This window comes from Homo sapiens, chromosome 2 (genome assembly GCF_000001405.40).
Source record: "Homo sapiens chromosome 2, GRCh38.p14 Primary Assembly".
NCBI classification, from domain to species: domain Eukaryota; kingdom Metazoa; phylum Chordata; class Mammalia; order Primates; family Hominidae; genus Homo; species Homo sapiens.
Window position 1 is genome coordinate 171035009 of NC_000002.12, and position 19839 is coordinate 171054847.

Consider the following 19839-nt stretch of genomic DNA (forward strand, 5'->3'; position numbering starts at 1 on the left):
ATAGTGAGTGAGTCTCACAAGATCTGATGGCTTTAAAAAGGGGAGGTTCCAGCTGGGCTTGGTGGCTCATGCCCGTAATCCCAGCACTTTGGGAAGCCGAGGAGGGTGGATCACCTGAGGTCAGGAGTTCCAGACCAACCTGCCCAACATGGTGAAACCTCGTCTCTACTAAAAATACAAAAAATTAGCCAGGCGTGGTGGCAGGCACCTGTAATCCCAGCTACTCAGGAGGCTGAGGAAGGAGAATTGCTTGAACCCAGGAGGCGGAGGTTGCGGTGAGCCGAGATCTTGACACTGTACTCCAGCCTGGGCACAAGAGCAAAACTCCGTCTCAAAAAAAAAAAAGGGGGTTGGGGGAGTTCCCCTACACAAGCACTCTTCTCTTGTCTGCCACCATGTGAGATGTGCCTTTCACCTTCTGCAATGATTATGAGGCCTCCCCAACCACGCGGAACTGTTAAGTCCATTAAACCTCTTTCTTTTGTAACTTGCCCAGTCTCGGGTATGTCTTTATCAGCAGCGTGAAAGCAAACTAATACAATGACTTACATACCAAGTACTACTGTGATATGCAAAATAATGGCCAAAGACTTCCATATCCTAATCCTTGAGACATGTCAATGTATTAGGTTATAAAGAAAAGGAAAATTAAGGGTAGCAGGTGAAATTAAGGTTGCTTATCAGCTGACAGTAAAACAGGGAGTTATTCTGCATTACCCATGTGTGCCCAGAGGGAAGGGGAGGCAGTGTCAGAATCAGAGTAATGTGACAGGTGAGACACTTGACTGGCCGCTGCTGGCTATGAAGACGGAAGGGGATCATAAACCAAAAAATGTGGGCAGCTTCTAGAAGCTGGAAAAAGAAAGGAAATGGATTCTCTTCTAGAGTCTCTAGAAGTAACATAGCCCTGTTAACAATTTGATTTTAGCCCAAATGAAACCCATTTCAGGTCCGTGATCGCTAAAACGGTAAGGTAATATTTGTGTTGGTTAAAGCTAGGTTTGTGTGATTTGTTACAGCAGCCATAAGAAATTACTGCAGATCTTCTTACCTGGAAGTAGAATGCGCCTTTAATAAATACCTAAAAACATGGAAGTGGCTTTGGAACTGGGCAGGGGACAGAGGCTAGAATTTTAAGAAGCATAATTTCTGAAGGCTGGACACAGTGGCTCACGCCTGCAATCCCAGCACTTTGGGAGGCCAAGGCGGGTGAACTGCTTGAGGTCAGGAGTTCGAGACCAGCCTGACCAGCATGGTGAAACCCTGTTTCTATTAAAAATACAAAAATTAGCCTGGCATGGTGGTGGGCACCTGTAAACCCCAGCTATTTGGGAGGCTGAGGCAGGAGAATCACTTGAACCCAGAGCGAGACTCTGTCTCCCCCCCCAAAAAAAGCATAATTTCTAAAAAGTTTAAACAGATTGTTAGCAGGCTAAACTTCATCAAAAAGAAAGGATAACCTAGAGGACAGAAACCTGTGCCCAAAAGGCAGAAGCACAGAAGATCATCATAAAAGATTATTCCCAGACCTTGAATCCAAATGGAGTTTGAATGGATTTTGAAATTCTGCAGGAATTTGCTTCCACTGCTTTTTGTTTTGAACAGAAATGTCTCTAAACTGTCATCAGATACCTGGTTCCTCCATCGTACTGTGGGAGGAGGTAACTTGCTTCTCGAGTTTCAGTTTCACAGATGAAGAAAAACTGTGTCTCAGGGTGGATTATACCCCAAGTCTCACTCATATCTCATTTATTTGATGAGAATTGAACTTTGAGCTTATGGGATTTAGATGTGATGTCAGACTTTGTGCTGACACTGTAATGGGGATGTTGAGATAGGGTGAATGTACTCTGCATGTGGAAAGGATGTGAATCTTTGGGGGTCAGTAAACAGAATAATGGTTTTCCCAAAATGCCATATCCTAGTCTTTAAAAAAGGCTAGATTTAAATGGGATCAAGGTTGCTCATCAGCTGATTTTAAGATAATTACTTTTTATAATACAGCTATGAATACACAGAGCAAAGAAAAAAAATACATTCTATCTGCAGGAAACTAGTCAAAGTCACAGAAAAGGTAATATCTGAACTAAATTAAAAAGAAGCAACAGCAGGAGGCCAGGAAGAAGAAATAGGGTATTAAGAAGCATGATGGGCCTGGCACGTTGGCTCACGCTTGTAATCCAAGCACTTTGGGAGGCTGAGGTGGGCAGATCACCTGAGGTCGGGAGTTCAAGACCAGCCTGACCAACATGGAGAAACCCCATCTCTACTAAAAATACAAAATTAGCCAGGCATAGTGGCGCATGGCTGTAGTCCCAGCTACTCGGGAGGCTGAGGCAGGAGAATCACTTGAACCCAGGAGGCGGAGGTTACAGTGAGCCAAGGTCGTGCCATTGTACTCCAGCCTGGGCAACAAGAGTGAAACTCCGTCTCAAAAAAAAAAAAAAACAGAGGCATGATGACCCAAGAGTACAGCATGGAGATACTCAAGCAAAAGTAAAAAGGAAAGCAAACTGCAGATTAAGGAAGTATCTTCTGCTTGTTTGCTAAGAGTTTTAGTCACAGATCAATGTTGAATTTTATCTAATTTTTTAAAATTTTTCGTATCTATTAAGATAGTCATATGATTTTTCTATTTATGTGAAAAGTTATATATATTTTTCTGATCTATAACCAACCTTGCACATCCAACATAAACCCAACTTGGTCTTCATAAATTAGCATTTTTATATATTATATGTTGTGTTTGTGTTACTATTTTAAGATTTGTGCATTTATTTTCACAAGTGAGATTTGCCTGTAACTGTCATTCTTGTACAATCTTTGTTGAGTTTTGACATCAAGATTATGTCGGCCTCAGAAAATAAGTGGGAAGCATATCTACCTTTTCTGTTCTTCAAAAAAGTTTGTAAAAGACTGGCACTATTTCATCCTTAAATGGCTGATAGAATTCTTAGATGCGGTTATTTGGACCTGCAGTTTTTCTCTGAATAAATGTTTAAATTACAGATTCACTTTATTTAATAGTTACAGAACTATGTGGATTTTGTTTCTTCTACTGTCAGTTTTGGTTCCACTGTATTTTTCTTTAAATTTGTCAATTTCACAAAGATTTCAAATTTAAGCAATTTATAATGTGTTGTTTCCTTTAAATATCTAGACACAGTAGTAATATTCCTTTTTTCATTCCTGGGGATAGCTGTGGTTTTTAAAAATCAATCATATCAATTGTATCAGGTTTTTTCCCCTACAAAAATTTTAACGCGATTTTTAAAAAACTAGTTTATTCTCTGTATTGTATGTGTGTTTCCTATATTAATTTCTGCTATCTTTTCCCTCTTCTTTGGTTAATTCTCTTGCTCATTTTCTTTCTAACTTATTGAAATAGATGATTAGTTTCTAAAGTTTTAGTTTTTCTTCTTTTCTTACATACATAACTAAAGCTATAATTTTCTCTCGATACTCTTTCAGATACATTTTACCAATTTTGTTATGTAGCACTTTCACTAACATTCATTTCAAAATATTTTGAAATCTTTCATTTCAGAATTTTCTCTCATTTCCATTGGCACTTTTCCACTACCTTTTAGTTACAGATTTCTAGCTAATTGCATTGTGGTCAGGGAACATATATAATGGTTTCAATCATTTTCATCCTGGAGTTCTACCAATGACTAAGGGAGAAAGAATACCACTCTTACATAAACTTTCAATCCTGTGAAATTTGCCGAGGCTTGCTTTATAACCAATTTTTTTATAGTCAATATTTTTAAAAGAACATGTATTCTGCAGATGTTGGGAGGTATTCTATATATGTCCATTGGTTCAAGTTTGCCAATCCCATTAATTTTGCATGCACTGTGTGTTTTGTTTTGTAATGCTTTATTTTTATCTACATGTTCTATTTCTAAGAAATGTGCTTAAATCTCCCACTATGATTTGTGGATCTGTCTATTATTATTAGTTTTTTATTTATCTTGAGGCCATGTTATCATATTTATATAAATTTAGAATTATTATAGCTTCCTAGTGATTTCAACCTTTTATAACAACCACTTCATTTCTAATAATTTTTTTTGTCTTAAATTTTACTATGTCTGATTTAATATAGCTTTCTTTTGGGTGGTGTTTGCCTGTCTTTTCTAAACTGTTATTTCAATATGTCTTTTTTCCCTCTGGCTGCTTAAGAATTTTTTTCTCTTTGCCTTAATTTTCTGAAATTTCACTATGATGTGTATAGATGAGCTTTGTTTTGTTTTGTTGTTTTGTTTTTTGAGACAGAGATCTCACTCTGTCACCCAGGCTGGAGTGCAATGGCACGCACATGGCTCACTGCAGCCTTGGCCTCCCAGGCTCAAGCGATCCTCCCACCTCAGCCCCTCAAGTAGCTGGGAGTACAGGCCCATGCCTGGCTAATTTTTGCATTTTTAGTAGAGATGGGTTTTTGCCATGTTGTCAAGGCTGGTCTTCAACTCCTGAGCTCAAGCGATCCACCCACCTCGGCCTCCTAAAGTGGCAGGATTACAGGTGTGAGCCACCACACCCAACCTCAATGAGTGTTTCTTTTTATTCATATCCCCTGGAATTTGCTGGCCTTCATGAACCTGTAGACTGATCTTGTTCATCTGTTTTTGAAACACTCTTAGTTATCTCATCTCCAAATACTGCTTATGCTGCATTCAGGATTGTTTCTCTAAAGACTATCAGCTACCTTGTCAATAGTAATAATGTAAATCAGAAGACAATAAAAATCATCTCTTCAAGTAACTACCAACCCAAAATTCTAAAACCAGTAAAGATATCCAAAGAGGGCAAAATAATTTTCAGACAAACAAAAACTGGTCACTACCAACAGACCCCTTTGTAATTTTCCTTTACAAAGGAAAATTTGTAAAGGGTATTCTTGGCAGAAAAATCTTGTGAGAGGTGTAGAAATAAGTAAAGAGCAAAAAATAAATAAATATGTGGATAAAGTCCATATGAACACTCACTATGCAAGACAATAATGATGTCCTATAGGTAGATGTGTGTATATATGTGTGTCTGTGTATAGAAGCATGCTCATACTGTAATAGAGAAAAAGAATAAAATAAACAAAAACTGGTCAATGCAATAAAAGGTGAGAAAAAAAGAAAAAGGGGGAGACTAGGTAGGATAAACAGAAGCATAAAGATAAGCCTCAATAAGTAATTGCATGAATTGAAAAACAGATTAAATTCTCCAATGAAAGGAAGATTTTTCAGACAGGATTTTAGAAAAATCAGTTATACATTTGTCAAAACCCATAGAATGTACAACATCAACAGTGAACTCTAATGTAACTTTGGATGACAACGATGTGTCTATGCAGGTAACATATGTGCCACTGTGGTGTGGGATGTTGACAGTAGAAGAGAATGTATCCGTGTGGGGACAGGGGTTAGGTATATAGGAACTCTGTACTTTCTGCTCAATTCTGCTGTACTACTGCCCTCCTCCTCCTCTAAAAAATAAGTTCATTAATTTTAAAAAGAGATAAGTAGTCTACTAATAATGTTATACAAAATATATTCCTTTTTTGTTTTTTTTTTTTTTTTTTTTTGAGACAGGGTCTTCCTCTGTTGCCGAGGCTGGAGTGGAGTGCAGTAATGCAATCACAGCTCACTGCAGCCTTGACCTCCCCAGCTCAAGCAATTCTCCCACCTCAGCCTCCTGAGAAGCTGGGACTATAGGTACATACCACCATGTCTGGCTAATTTTTTATTTTTTGGTAAACATGGGGTCCTGCTATGTTGCCCAGGCTGGTCTCAAACTCCTAGGCTCAAGTGATCCTCCCGTCTCAGCCTCCCAAAGTGCTGGGATTACAGGCCTGAGCCACCACGCCCAGCCTAAAATATATTCTTAATTTAAAATTAAAGCTATAATGGAAAAGCAATGACCTGTCCAACTTCAATAATATATGAGGTAAAATATTACTTATTCTTAACTTTGCAGTCACCCTCTGTGAAACATGCAACATGTAAGTCTAACAGATACAACCAAAGCTTAATTTGAAATATATTTTAAGTAAAAATCTTGGTTAAAATGTATTAGTAAAGGAAAATCAATGTAAGTGTCAACAGACTTTATCTAGAGATAGTATTAACTACCCAAACTATTTACTCTGAATAAAAAGTCCTTGTAACTAAAATTACAAGTTATTACCTAAAAAACTGACTCTTGCTAATAGTTAAAAATAAATTATGAACTAAAAACCATGCCAAGTACATGCATTACCTCCTACCATCTTTTCAACAGTATAATGTAGATACTTTCACAAGAAAATGGAGATTCAAAGAAGTAAAATAACTTACTAAAAATAATCTGGGAGAGTTAAATTTGGAATCCACATCTGTCTGACTACAGAACCTAAAGTCCTACCCACCACATCTGGATTCCCCACCCCTGGGCCACAGACCTGTACCGTCCATGGCCTGTTAGGCTGCACAACAGGTGGTGAGCAGCGGGCCAGCAGGCATTACCACCTGAACTCCATCCACCTCCTGTCAGACCAGCAGTGGCATTAGATTCTCATAGAGCACAAACCCTATTGTGAACTGCGCATGCAAGGGATCTAGGTTGTATGCTGCTTATGAAAATACAATGCCTGATTATCTGAGGTGGAACAGTTTCATCCCAAAGCCATCCCCCAGCCCCCACCCCAGCCCATGAAAACACTGTCTTCCACAAAGCTGGTCCCTGGTGCCAAAAGGTTGGGGACTACTGTACTACATAATAGTAACTTCATTTTCTATGTTAATTTCTTGATAGACAATTGATAACTAGATTCATAACTTGTCCCCTAATTATACTAGATATTCTGCACACAAGCCAAAGCCATTTTCATTAAACAATGAATCAAAAGAAGTTTTAAAAGATAGTTTGCCAAGTAGAGATGTGACATTTTGTGTTAAAAAAGCATTATTCAAACTGCAGTATATATGAATCAAAGTGCTTCTGTGGCCTTTTGCCCTATTTAAACCTATAATTTGTTTAAGAATGCAATCAAATTGCCATGTAGTACCCATCACTTCATTTGCCACAGAGTTAGTTTTAGGTCAACATATGTAATAAAATGGGATAGAAACGAAAGAAGACTATGACTATTAGACTATAATTAAAGCTGTTAGCATCTTGGAAGACAACTAGTAAACAAAATACCTGTGACAAACCAGAAAGATGATCTATCAAAAAGAAAATGAAATTCGATCAAATGTGTTTTTTTTATTTTTTTCCCTTTGAGGCCGGGTCTCACTGTCACCCAGGCTGGAGTGCAGTGGAGTGATCATAGCTCACTGTAATCAAACTCCTGGGCTCAAGAGATCCTCCTGCCTCAGCCTCCTGAGTAGATGGGACTACAGGGACATGCCACCACACTTGGCTAATTTTTTTTTTTATTTTTGTAAGGATAGGGTCTTGCTCTGTTGCCCAGGCTAGTTTCAAATTCTTGACCTCAGTGATCTTTCCACCTTGGCCTTCCAAAACAGTGGATTACAGGCATGAGTCACTGCACCCAGCCTAAATGCTTGTGTATTGTAATTTAGTATTGACCACTTTCCATACACCAAACACTGTGCTAGGCATTGGGACTACAGAGATAAAACAGTGAAATAAATGCTACAATACATACAAGTATGCACAAAATATCATGGCACCTAGTGTGAGAGGCAATAGGAGAAACTGGTTAAAAAAAAAAAAAGGTTAGAGAGAACTTCCTTTTGAAGACAGCATTTAAGCCAAGTCTTAAAGGATAAACAGGAAATGAGACAAATGAAGAAAGGTAAGGAACAAGATAAAGTCACAGAAGCAAGAAAGCACAGTCCATTTAGAGAATTGAAAAAGTTTAACTTAAGATATATGTAGGGCAAATGCTGGAGAATGAGGATAAAGTGAGAAATAAGGTTTACATAAAGGGTCTTCATGTGGGTGAATTTTATCTAGAAAGCCACTGACAGAGGTTAAACATGGTGAGACATGAAAAATAGTAATCTAGGTTAAAAAAAAAACCAAGGTCCTACACTAAGACAGTGACCGTGAAAATGAAGAATGGAGCAAACATGAAAATGTTATGGAAACAGACACAGAGAATGAGGGAAAGAGAAACATTAAGATGACAGGCAGATTCCTAGTGTCATCACCTGAGTGGACATTGATGCTGCGACTGAAGAGATAGAGGGTACTTACTATGGTGATACCTCAAAGTAATAAATAACTCCCATCTTTCATATATTAAAGAAAAGCTTCCAGGAGGAAGCGATAACTACCGTGGGACTTAACAGATTAACAGAAATTAAGACAATGGGTGAGAGTCTGAATGTTGGCAGTGAAGTAGAAGTACTGAGTGATGGCAACAATGAGGCTAGATAACGAAGAAGGAGCCAGATCAAAAGTGCTTTATAAGCCATATTAGGACTTTTGGGTTAGATCATTCAAGTACTGGAGAGCTTTGTTAGGGTTATAGGGAAGAGAATGAAAGGATCACATTTTTATTTCAGAAAAATGACTCTACGACATGAAAACAGACTGCAGGAAGAGACCAAAATTGAAGCGGGAAGAGGGAGAGATTATAAACATCACCCAAGTAAAAGACAGCATTAACTTGAGTTAGAATGAATGGTGTTAGCGGGAACTTGCATAAAGGATGAGTGGACATATCTGGTATCTAGCAGGACTGGGCATCTACAGGGTAGAGTTAAAGCTAACACATACTTTGCTTTTTTTTTCTTTTAAAGAAATAGAGACAAGGTCTCACTATGTTGGCCAGGCTGGTCTCAAACTCCTGGACTCAAGTGATCCTCCCACCGCAGCCTTCCAAAGCACTGGGATTATAGTGTGAGACATCCCACCCAGCCCACACTTTCTTTTAATACAATCACCCACCAAGCCAGTCATTCACCTGGCTTTTGGTTTTTTCTTAAACAAATTTACTAACTTACAAAAAGTACAGTTCTTTTAAAAAATTAATATAGTCAAAATGTTTTAATTGTAACTTACAACAGCTCAAGAAAATTAAGAAAGGCTTTAAGAAGAAAGTACATTTTGAGATGGACTTTGAAAGATTAATACTATCACCATCTAATTACTAATGGATTAAGAAAAAATCAACAAAATCTGGCCGGGTGCAGTGGCTCATGCCTGTGATCCCAGCACTTTGGGAAACCAAGGCAAAGAGTACAGCTTGAGCCCAGGAGTTCAAGACAAGCCTGGACAACATGGGGAGACTCCATCTCTTCAAAACAATAAAAAATAAAAATAAATAAAATCTGTACTTAAAATGTTAAAGGTGACAACTAGAATTCTTACATGTGAGAGGATGGTAGTGCCACTCACTAAGAGAACACAGAAAAGGGGCAAAGTATGTGTGTGTAAAGACAGACTGAATCGGAAAGATAACAGTAAATACAAGGTTTTATTTGTTTTTAGTAAATATAGTTTTGAACAGGCTGCATTAGAAGTTCCTGTGAGACATTTAAGTACTGATAGCAACTAAGCAGGATGTGATATTCAAGACTGAGACAGAAGTATCCGATACTCAAGAGAAAAGTGGGCTGGAGATGGTAATTTTGATGTCAGCAGGATGTATACGGTAACCGAAACCCTAAGAGTAGATACTACTCAAGGAGAATACGCAGAGTGAGAAATGTGACGGCCTAGGACATATCCCTAAAAGTCATCTACATTTTACAGATTGGTAAGTAAATGATGCCCATAGAAAGAGACTGAGAAGATGCAGCCGGATGAGTTAAAATGGAAACTTCAGTATCTTCAAAACTAAAATAGTCTTTTTGGAAAAAAATAAGTCAACAATATTCAGTGCTGCTACGTAAGTTAAAGACCCAAATGTTACAGCATTTAGCATCAGGAAGATAATCTTAAGAAAAATTTCAGTTAAGAAAGGGCAACTGGAAGACAAGGCAGAAGAGACTACGAGGACAGGCAACTCTTTGAAGAAGCCTAGTTATGAAGAGAACATACAGAATATAGAGACTAAAGGGATTTGTAATTGAGGGAGAGTTTTTTAATGGTTTTGCTTACATGTTTTTGGAAGGGAAGTAACAAGCAGAGCACAAAGGAGGTATCAACAGAAGAGGTTCCTGATACAGGTGTGGATGGGATTCAAAGCATGGATGACAGACAATCTTTCAATAGAGGAGAAAAGAATACATGACATACAAGACATTAGAGGGTACATGTATTTTCTCTTTTTTTTTTTTTTTTTTTTGAGAAAGTCTCACTCTTGTCCCCCAGGCTAAAGTGCAATGGCACGATCTTGGCTCACTGCAACCTCCGCCTCTCAAGTTCAAGCAATTCTCCTGCCTCAGCCTCCTGCGTAGCCGGAATTACAAGTGCCTGACACCATGCCCGGCTAATTTTTGTATTTTCAGTAGAGACGGGGTTTCTCTCTGAGAATTTACTGACCTCACGTGATCCACCCACTTTGGCCTCCCAAAGTGCTGGGATTACAGGCATGAGCCACCGTGCCCGGTCTATGTATTTTCTACTCACGTGAGTTTACGTAAGTTCTTCTAGAACAGAAAATTTATGTAAGTTTGGATACATCTGTATATTGAAATTTTAACAATGGTGTTCTCTGTGAAATGGGATCATGGTCTATATTATTATTCTTGTCCTATTTTCCAAATTTTCTTTTAAAAAATGTCTTTGTCCTTTAAATTATAAAGAATAATTCATTAACAAAGAAAATCCAGAAAACAAAGAAAAGCAGAAAGGGAAAAACAATACCTATAACCCACTAATGAACTGCTTTCACAGGCTGAGAAAACATATAAATGGTAGTTACATTACTTCATTCTCTCAGACAAAGGAATGTGAATGGAAACGTTGAATTAGAATAATCCAAAACTTTTAATTGATTCCTAACTGATTCAGACACAGAAGGGTGAATTCTGGTAACCTCTTAGCTACCTAGGTCTCTGTTTTAAAAGAGAATTGTTAAATCTCTGCTTAAAACGGTAGAATTCAGATATTTGGGGCTATTAATTTAGAGCTAAATTTTCAATACTGCCTTCCTTCCTGGTCTTAATCATTTTTGCTATCTAAGTATTAATTATAAATAACATCCATTAGTAACATTCACGCTCACTGGCAACAATTTTAAAAAAGAAAAATTTTAAATGGAGGCTTACAGTTGTGGTAAATTTGGTCTAACAAAGGGATCATTCTCTGCTCCATTGACTGCTTTGTTTTTCCTTTGTTTTGGTTCAGAATTGGTAGAGGGTGCCTGAGAATTATTAGCTGTGGGAGGTTTGCGTTTGGCTAGAAGTTTCCTTTGCCTTTCAATATCTTCCCTTTGCTGATTCACCCATTCTTGTTGCCTGTGTAAAAATAAACAAATAAAACCATATTAACCTTCCATTACTTTTCAAGGCTAAACTTGGAAAAAATGCATAAAAAACATGAAAAACCATAAAATATACATTCGTAACCTTTTGGTTCCACTCTTGTGAACCAATTTGTACTTATCCTTCAGGTCTCATTTGAAAGAATTTTTTTAAGTGAGGTATTCTCTAAACCCCTAGATTAGGGAAAGATGTGTTGCCATATATAATTTCATGGGATCTTCTATCTCCCCACCTCACTCTTTCTAATAAATATTATTCCTATAGATACTTTATCAGAAAGTGTCCGGTTAGATGACATCACTCCCTAAGAACACAGATGGTGTCTATTTATACAGTATTTATACTGTTGTATCCCTAGTACCTAGTGTAGTGATCATCACTTACCTTTGCTCAGTAAATGTTTCTTGAATGAAATGAGATAAAACAATACCCCAAACTATTAAAGTATGGGGTATATGTTACACATGCATCTCACCACAGTATTTGCAAACAAATTTACAAAAGGCAAATATGAATTTAATGTGAAGAGAGTTATTTTCTAAATCTACTTTTGTTAAAAAAAATTGGTAATGGGAAGTTGGTGTTTTGAAATGAGACAAATTAACCTTAATATAAGAAATTTATGAGAAAAATTTTTTTGATAATTTAAGGGGAAAAAGACAAGAAAATAGCAAGAAAAATTAGCATGGCTCTGAAAAATGGGAAAGTAACAAAAATAAAATCAATGCTTCCCATTCAAGAAACTGAAACAATTTTGCAAATAGCTCCCTAATTCTAAAAACGAATAGATACCATGTCTATTATTAAAATGTAGATTAGATATTTTAGCAGTTTGAGCAGAGCATAAAGTAGTTAACAGTGAAGCTTTTTAAAACCAACTTATCATACAACACCTTAAGCTTATTCTAACAGTAACCATGTTCTCTTTCAGGTCACCTCACTATGCCAATAAAAAATTTTCAAATCCTACATGGTTACAATACTTAGAGCAAGTCAAATATTTCATGCCCTCCTCTCCCCAACCACTGACATCAACTAAAGGGCTCCTACTTTGCTAATGCAGAATTGACCTTACACACATCCCCTTCCCTATGGTTTTAGTGATAAAGTAGCAGAATATGATAGGAGTGAAAAAAATCAAGAAGAATCTAGGTAGAAGATTGAAAGGGTAGAGAAAAATCTCAAGAATAGCAAAGTGAGAACAAGACTTTAATCCGGTTTTCATTTAGAAGCAGGAATAAATTTCAATTTTTAATAAGTAAATCTTAAGGCTATTTTAGGGCACAATCAAGATGGTATAAATGCAAATAAGCAATAATAATCCTAATGATTAAAATATTAATGGAAAGTAAAGAATTACTGGAATAGATATTAATAGCTGATTACTCAGGGATGACTATACAGTTTAGAGATTAATATTATTACTTTTATTTATTTCTCTTCTCATCTTCTAACCACTCTGGATTATATCACCAATTATAAACGGCTTGATATACACACAGTAGGTCCTCAATAAATGCTTATTAGTGAAAGTCAGGACATACAAGTAATTATTTTCTTTTTTGACATTATTTTTTGAGACAGACTCTCACTCTGTCGCCCAGGCTGGAGTGCAGTGGCATGATCTCGGCTCACTGCAGCCTCCACCTCCCAGGTTCAAGCAATTCTCGTGCCTCAGCCTCCCGAGTAGCTGGGATTACAGGCGCCCACCACCATGCCTGGCTAATTTTTGTATTTTCAGTAGAGACAGGGTTTCACCCTGCTGGCCAGGTTGGTATCAAACTCTCAACCTCAGGTGATCCTCCCAACTCGGCCTCCCAAAGTGCTGGGATTACAGGCGTGAGCCACTGCACCTGTGGCCTCTTTTCTGACAGTTAAGAGGAGAAATTGGAACTACTAGTAGAATTTATATTTCAGAACATTCATATTAATTATATAACTGTCTCTTTTATTCATTGCAGGACAATTGCCGGTCTGGGTTTAGTAGCAGAGCCTCTTGCTCATAAACACTAAAAAATTATCTTCTCCTGCTTTCCACTTTACTGTTGATATGTTAGTTCATGCTTTAATCACCTTTCATCTGGATACCCCTCCATCTTAACTACCAATAACATTCATCCTCTAATAATATTTTCACATTACCATCAGTTATTATTCTACAACTATCACTGTAGATATCATTCCGATCACGTACACTATATGTAAACCTTTAACAAGTCCCATTATCTGCAGAATTGAAACCCAAACTCTCTAATATCACAAGGACATTATCCTTTGTTTCACTGTGGTATAACTAGCACAGATATGTTGAAGAAAAGTTGAATAAATCTGCTGAGAGAGAAGGCCATTCTGTGGCAAGTCCTAGGAGGCAGTGTTTGAACAGCAATGTTGGTGTGATACCATGTGAAAGTAAGTTCTGCCTCTATTTCAAATAACTGGATACTCTGGAAAAGCTGATGTTCATGCTGGCATTACTCCCCATTTTCAGGTTTAAAAAAATTTTCCACCAAAAACGGAGTAGCATATTTAGCACTCCTTAACACATAAACAGCCAATAAATCCTTTTCTACCACCATCTGAACTCAAGAAAATATGGTAACTATAATTCCTCTGTTTAAAAGTTTGATCTGAAAAGTAACAGAAAACCAAACACCGCATGTTCTCATGTATAAGTGGGAGCTAAACATTGGAGACACATGGACATAAAGATGAGAATGATAGAAACTGGGGGCTACAAAGATGAAGGAGGCAGAGACAGGGGCAAGGATTGAAAAACTACTGGGTACTATGCTCACTACCTGAGTGGTGGGTTCAATTGTACCCCGAACCTCAGTATCAAGCAATATACCCCTGTAACAACCTGCATATATATTCCCTGAAACTAAAATAAAAGTTGAAATTAAAATAAATAAATAATAAATAGAGTTTACCTCAGAAACGCTAAAGCCACATGTTCAGTTTAACTGATAAATCAGTTATTATATCTGAGGCAAAAGAGAAGTTTTTTCCCTTAGGAATAGAGAGCAGGCAAGTGCTGAACATTAACATGTAAGGATTGGGGAATGGGAAAAAACTAAGTAGGAAAATCCTAGGAAATAAACACACACACAAATCTTCCAGTGAAAATTAAATTTTCAACAATTTCCCTCTCAAAACATCATCTGTAAAGCTAAAGGTTCAATTAATATCTCGGAAAGTCAGAATTAGAATAATATATTACATTCTATAGATGACTGCTAATTAATCAAGAAATTACTAAGCTAAAACTGTAATACTCTTGGTTTCATATCCCTTTCAAAGGTACTAAATTCTATGATTTCAGAGTAGCGAGGAACTGGAGAGCATAATTACAAATCTATAATCTTTTAAAGTAATGAAAACCCAAACGAATACTAAAAACTTTTAAATGTTAAGAATGACTAACTTCACAAGATTCTGAAATGCAAAACCATCTGTCCATTGTTCAGTAAATGAAGCGCCATGTCTAACTGTTGTAAAGTGCCCGAGGCGTAATCGATCTTGCATACTCTTCTCTCTGCTTGACAGCTTTTCTTGTGTACTCTGAAAAGGAGAAAAAAAATCATCACTCAATTGTATTCATTAATTTATAAAAGCATACAAAGCAAAAGGGGCTAATGAAGGGAAAGCGAAAATTTACTCAACTTTTAGCCTACCTTTTCAATAAGAAGTTTCTTGCTCATTGATATGCACTTATTTAATCGTTCTTTGTATTTTTCAAGTAATTTTTGTTGTTCATCTATTTGCCGTCTGAGATCACAGTTAGCCTATGACATAAGTAGAAAATGCAAGAGGTCTAGACTGGGGAATATGAAAAGCTTAGAAATAGTTTTAATGTTCTAAATAAATTATATACAGATAGGACTAATAATATTAAATATCTGAGTATGATACGAGAAAAAAAAAAAGCCTACTTAACCATGAGATAATACTGTTAAATGTTACTTAAGTGTGTAGTGGAAAGTACATACAGGGAAATTTGTATCCATATCCATACATTCAAATCCATACTCTAAGGTTAACTTTGGCTAAGTTATAAGAACTTTAGTTCAGCTTTCTTATTTCTAAATAGAAGCAACACAATCTACCTCACTTTGTTAAAAATAACTAAAATATGGTATATAAAGTGTCTATCACTTAAAAATAAATGTGAGTTTTCCTCTATCTCTTATAATTAACAAATTAAATGTGGGTTTTCCTCTATCTCTTATAACTAACAAAATATTTTCTCCACTGAACTTATAAATGACATACACAAGTTGCCTACCCAACAACTGTCCTCACCATTCTTCCTTAGCAATAGGATACTAATTCTGTTCACTTTGTAGGTGGCCATATGCTCAGAGAAGAGGCTTCCTTCTAACATCAAAAGATGAGTCTGATTAGTACAGTGGCAAGAGAATAACCTATAGGGCTTGTTACAACAGATTACTGGGAACCATTCCCAGAGCTTCTGAATCAGGTCTCAGGAAGGACCTGAAAATTTCCGTTTCTAATAAGTTCTCCAGTAATACTGATGCTCCTGGTCTGAAGATCACACTTTGAGAATCAAAAGTCTAGGCCAACCATGGTGGAATCCACAAGACAAGGGCACAAAATCTTAAAAGTGCTGAGAGAAAAGAATTGCCAACCTAAAATTAGATACCCAACACAGTTGTTTTTCAAGGAAGAGGAAACAGAATTTAGCACCAATAGACCCTCAGCAATTCAAACAAAATCTCAACACTGTGTGTGTATGATGCATATGCAACTTGAAACCTGATTCTAAAATTTCTCTAAGACTGTGAAGGGCCAAAAATAGCCAAAAAGAAGAAGAGGATATCTGTTTAACCATGTATCATGACTTAACATAAAGCTACATAACTATGATCACCCAAGCCTCCTCCTTCCTTAATAATGGAAATTCAATGTTTTATCCTGGATTGCTATCTGCCTAGCCAAATGACTACAGTTCCCAGCTTCCCTTAGAGCGAAGGATGGTTAATGAGATGCAAGCAGAAGTTGTTCAATGAGATATCCAAGAAGGCTGCACACAGAATTGTGCTTTGTGTTCTCTGCTCCCATCCTCCCTCCTGTTATCTGCTTAGAACACAGATATAATTGTGACCCTAATAGATATATTGAACCTTGATGTGACCTTTGAGATATAAGCCATGAACTAACAATGACAAGGTCCCTTATGATACTGAGGAGTAATAATATCTGAGCTGCCCACTTCTGTTCTTCTCTTGAAAAATAAGCTTCTATCTCATCTGAAGTACTGTTATTTATGTTCACTGTTACTAACAGCCAAAAACAACTGATAAAAATTGTTTTATCAACAATGATAAAAAGATGCTGCAGTACTTGTGTAGAGACACAAACAGAACAAGGAAACATGATACAGAACACAGAAACAGATCCACCTGTATACTGGAAACAAGATTTTATGATGATAGAGCTGGCAGTATAAGAATGAGCTTTTAATTAAATGGGGATGAACAACTGGTTATCCATATAGAAAGAAATTGAAATGAAACCCTACATCATGCCATACCCAAAACCAATTTCAGTAAGACTAATAATTTATATTGAAAGATCAGCTGGGCATGGTGGCTCATGCCTATAGCCCCAGCACTTTGGGAGACCAAGGTGGGAGGATCACTTGAGGCCAGGAGTTCAATACCAGCCTGTAGACTCCCAGCTCTACAAAATAAAAAAAAATCAGCCCGGAGTGATGGCATGAGCCTGTAGTCCTAGCTACTTGGGAGCCTGAGGTAGAAATATTGCTTAAACCCGGGAGTTTGAGGCTACAGTGAGCTATGATCCCCCACTGTGCTCTAGCCTGGGCGACACAGTGAGACCCTGTCACTTAGCGGGGGAAAAAAAAGACCAGACCAAAAAACCTTGAGAAATAACTGGTATTATACAGTAAAATGGAAAATGCGTATGCCCTGTACTCTGGCTATGTCTTTCCTAAACATATACCACAGAAAAATTCTTTCATATGTGCCCTGAAGACATGTACAAAGAATGTTCTTAGAACTGTTTATACTAGAAAAAGTAGAAATAAAATGTCAACTAAAAGCAGAAAAGATACAGAAATTATGGTATACTTGTAACACCTTACAATATTGCAATGAAATGAACAAACTACAGTTATACTCATCAAAGTGGATGACTCTCTGATATATTTCATTGAAAACAAGCTGGGCAAAAGGGTCCATACTGGAAAATTTCACTTAACGTTCAAAAACCAACTGAAATAATATGTTGTGAAGAATGTAAGCACATATTTAATACAACCATAAAGAAACACCAAGGCATCACAAATACAAAATTTAAAATAGTGGTTAAATGGTAAATGGGTGTGAGAAAGTAAATATGACAGGATCAGGAAAAAGACACACTGGATGTTTTAAAGACACTGTCAAATACAGTAGGATCACAGGTGTTGGTTTTATCGAGTTTCTACACCAGTAGTTCTCAATGCTGTCTTAAATTAAAGTTATCTGGGAGAGCCTTTAAAACTACCAATGTCCAAGACCTACATCATCATCAACTTGATCAGAACCCCTCAGGGTAGAGTTTCAGGCATTAGTACTTTCACCCTTCCCAACTGGTGAGTCTAAGGAGCATCAAGGGGTAAGAACTGCTGCTTTAAACCCTTACATTCTTAAGTATACTTCTAGATGTATTTTTAAATAAAGCTTCCATTAAAAATCCTACAGAACTGCAGCAGTTACTTCATCGTATAGGTATCAGATGTCAGGCATATAATAAAATCAATAAACTTTAACATGAAATGGCTATTTGTGTTATGGTAGTTGGTCATATAAATGTTATTAACTTCCAGTTCTCCAACAGTTTCTCAATTCCCAATTTATTGAAGATCTAATAAAATATTTCACTTTAAAATTGGTATTTTTCAATCATGTACTTAAACTAACAGAAAAAGCTTATTGAGTTCTAGCTACAGAATTTTTTTTTTTTCTGAGACAGAGTCTCACTCTGTCGCCAGGCTGGAGTACAGTGACGTGATCTCAGCTCACTGCAATCTCCACCTCCCGGGTTCAAGCATTTCTGCTGCCTCAGCCTCCCAAGTAGCTGGCACTACAGGCACGCACCACCATGCCCAGCCAATTTTTGTATTTTTAGTAGAAACGGGGTTTCACCATGTTGGCCAGGATGCTCTTGATCTCTCAACCTTGTGATCTGCCCGCCTCGACCTCCCAAAGTGCTGGGATTACAGGCATGAGCCACTGCGCCTGGCCTAGCTACAGATTTTTTTACAATGCTAAGTATTTTCTGAACAGTTTGACTGTTGCCAAATAATTTATTCAATTTTTTTCCCCTCTATGACTCATTACTTACCCTGAGCAAATCATCTATACGTCCCTCCTTCTTTTCCAGGTCCTGGATTTTATTACTTTCTAATGCTGCTAATTTCAGCATTGTGAGATCAGTCTAAATGAAAAAAAGTTATTTTATTATCTCCATTATATATGTTGTTTCAAGCAAACATAAAACTAGATTTTACTCCAAATTCAAAAGGTAAAGAAAAATATATTTGTGTGTATATGTAAAGTGAATCTCAAAAAGTTTTAGTGCAGTTTTAATAACTTCAAGTGTATAAATGCTACAGACTTACCAAGAAACATCTAGAAAGGCCAATTACTTAGAATACTGATGTTCCTCATTATAATTCAATATATCCGCTGCTTTGTGCTATACGTTCCTCTAGTTGATTTTTTTGAATTTTGCAAGACCTTTTTTAAATTGATAAGTAAAAACCTATCTATTTATGGTACACAACACGATGTTTTGATATATGTATATACAATGTGGAATGGCTAAATCAAGTTATTTAACACATATCTTTTTTTTGTGGTGTGAATAAAATCTACTCTCTTAGCAATTTTCATATACACAAAATATTGTTTTTAACTGTAGCCCCTATGATGTATAATAGTTCCCTTGAACTTACTTTCCAACTAAAATTTTATGTCCTTTGACCAACATCTCATGCAGCAAAACCTTTCATGATCTACTCAGTGGCTGAAAGGAATGTACTTCTAATCCTAGCCTCAGGATCATCCAAAGAAAGAGGTTTTGATACATGCACAACAGTTTGGATATGACCTCACAAATACAGTCTAATAGAAATAAACTGTCAAGCTGAGCTTGAAGAGTAAGATCTACTCTCCCAAACCCCAGTCTGAGAAAGTGCCACTCAGAAACTGTCACATGTAAAAAATTAAAATGAAAAACTTAGTGCTCAAATTCATGAAACTAAATAAGTATAGAAAATATACAAATAATTCAAATAATGTTTATAATTTGTCACATATACGTATTTAATAAATACAGTCAAATGAGAGGCTTTAATGTCCACTTCTAAAAAATACAGCAGTTTCACAAAATATCAATTACATATACTTGGAAATTAAGTTCAGAAAGA

The 19839-nt window shown here is 36.7% G+C and overlaps 1 protein-coding gene across 6 annotated transcripts in view, besides 1 other annotated feature; it reads right to left on the minus strand.

Annotated features, from left to right (window-relative positions):
• The window catches only part of TLK1 (tousled like kinase 1), a 240471-nt gene that overhangs the window by 44186 nt on the left and 176446 nt on the right, over window positions 1-19839 (minus strand). For 5 of the 6 annotated variants that reach the window (NM_001136554.2, XM_017005422.3, NM_012290.5 and 2 more), the window contains 4 exons: window positions 18753-18845; window positions 15056-15166; window positions 14806-14942; window positions 11166-11354 (listed from right to left, as the gene is read on the minus strand). In NM_001136554.2, coding sequence (NP_001130026.1) covers window positions 11166-11354; window positions 14806-14942; window positions 15056-15166; window positions 18753-18845 — 530 coding nt within the window. The remainder of the gene's footprint in view (window positions 1-11165; window positions 11355-14805; window positions 14943-15055; window positions 15167-18752; window positions 18846-19839) is intronic. The other variant, XM_011512238.4, reaches the window with a different exon arrangement.
• Window positions 10926-11433: an enhancer, noted in NCBI's record as "NANOG hESC enhancer chr2:171902444-171902951 (GRCh37/hg19 assembly coordinates)". NCBI's record gives its function as "activates a minimal SCP1, AML or CMV promoter by ChIP-STARR-seq in primed H9 embryonic stem cells {active_cell/tissue: H9 hESC(primed)}" and the evidence as "EXISTENCE:reporter gene assay evidence [ECO:0000049][PMID:30033119]".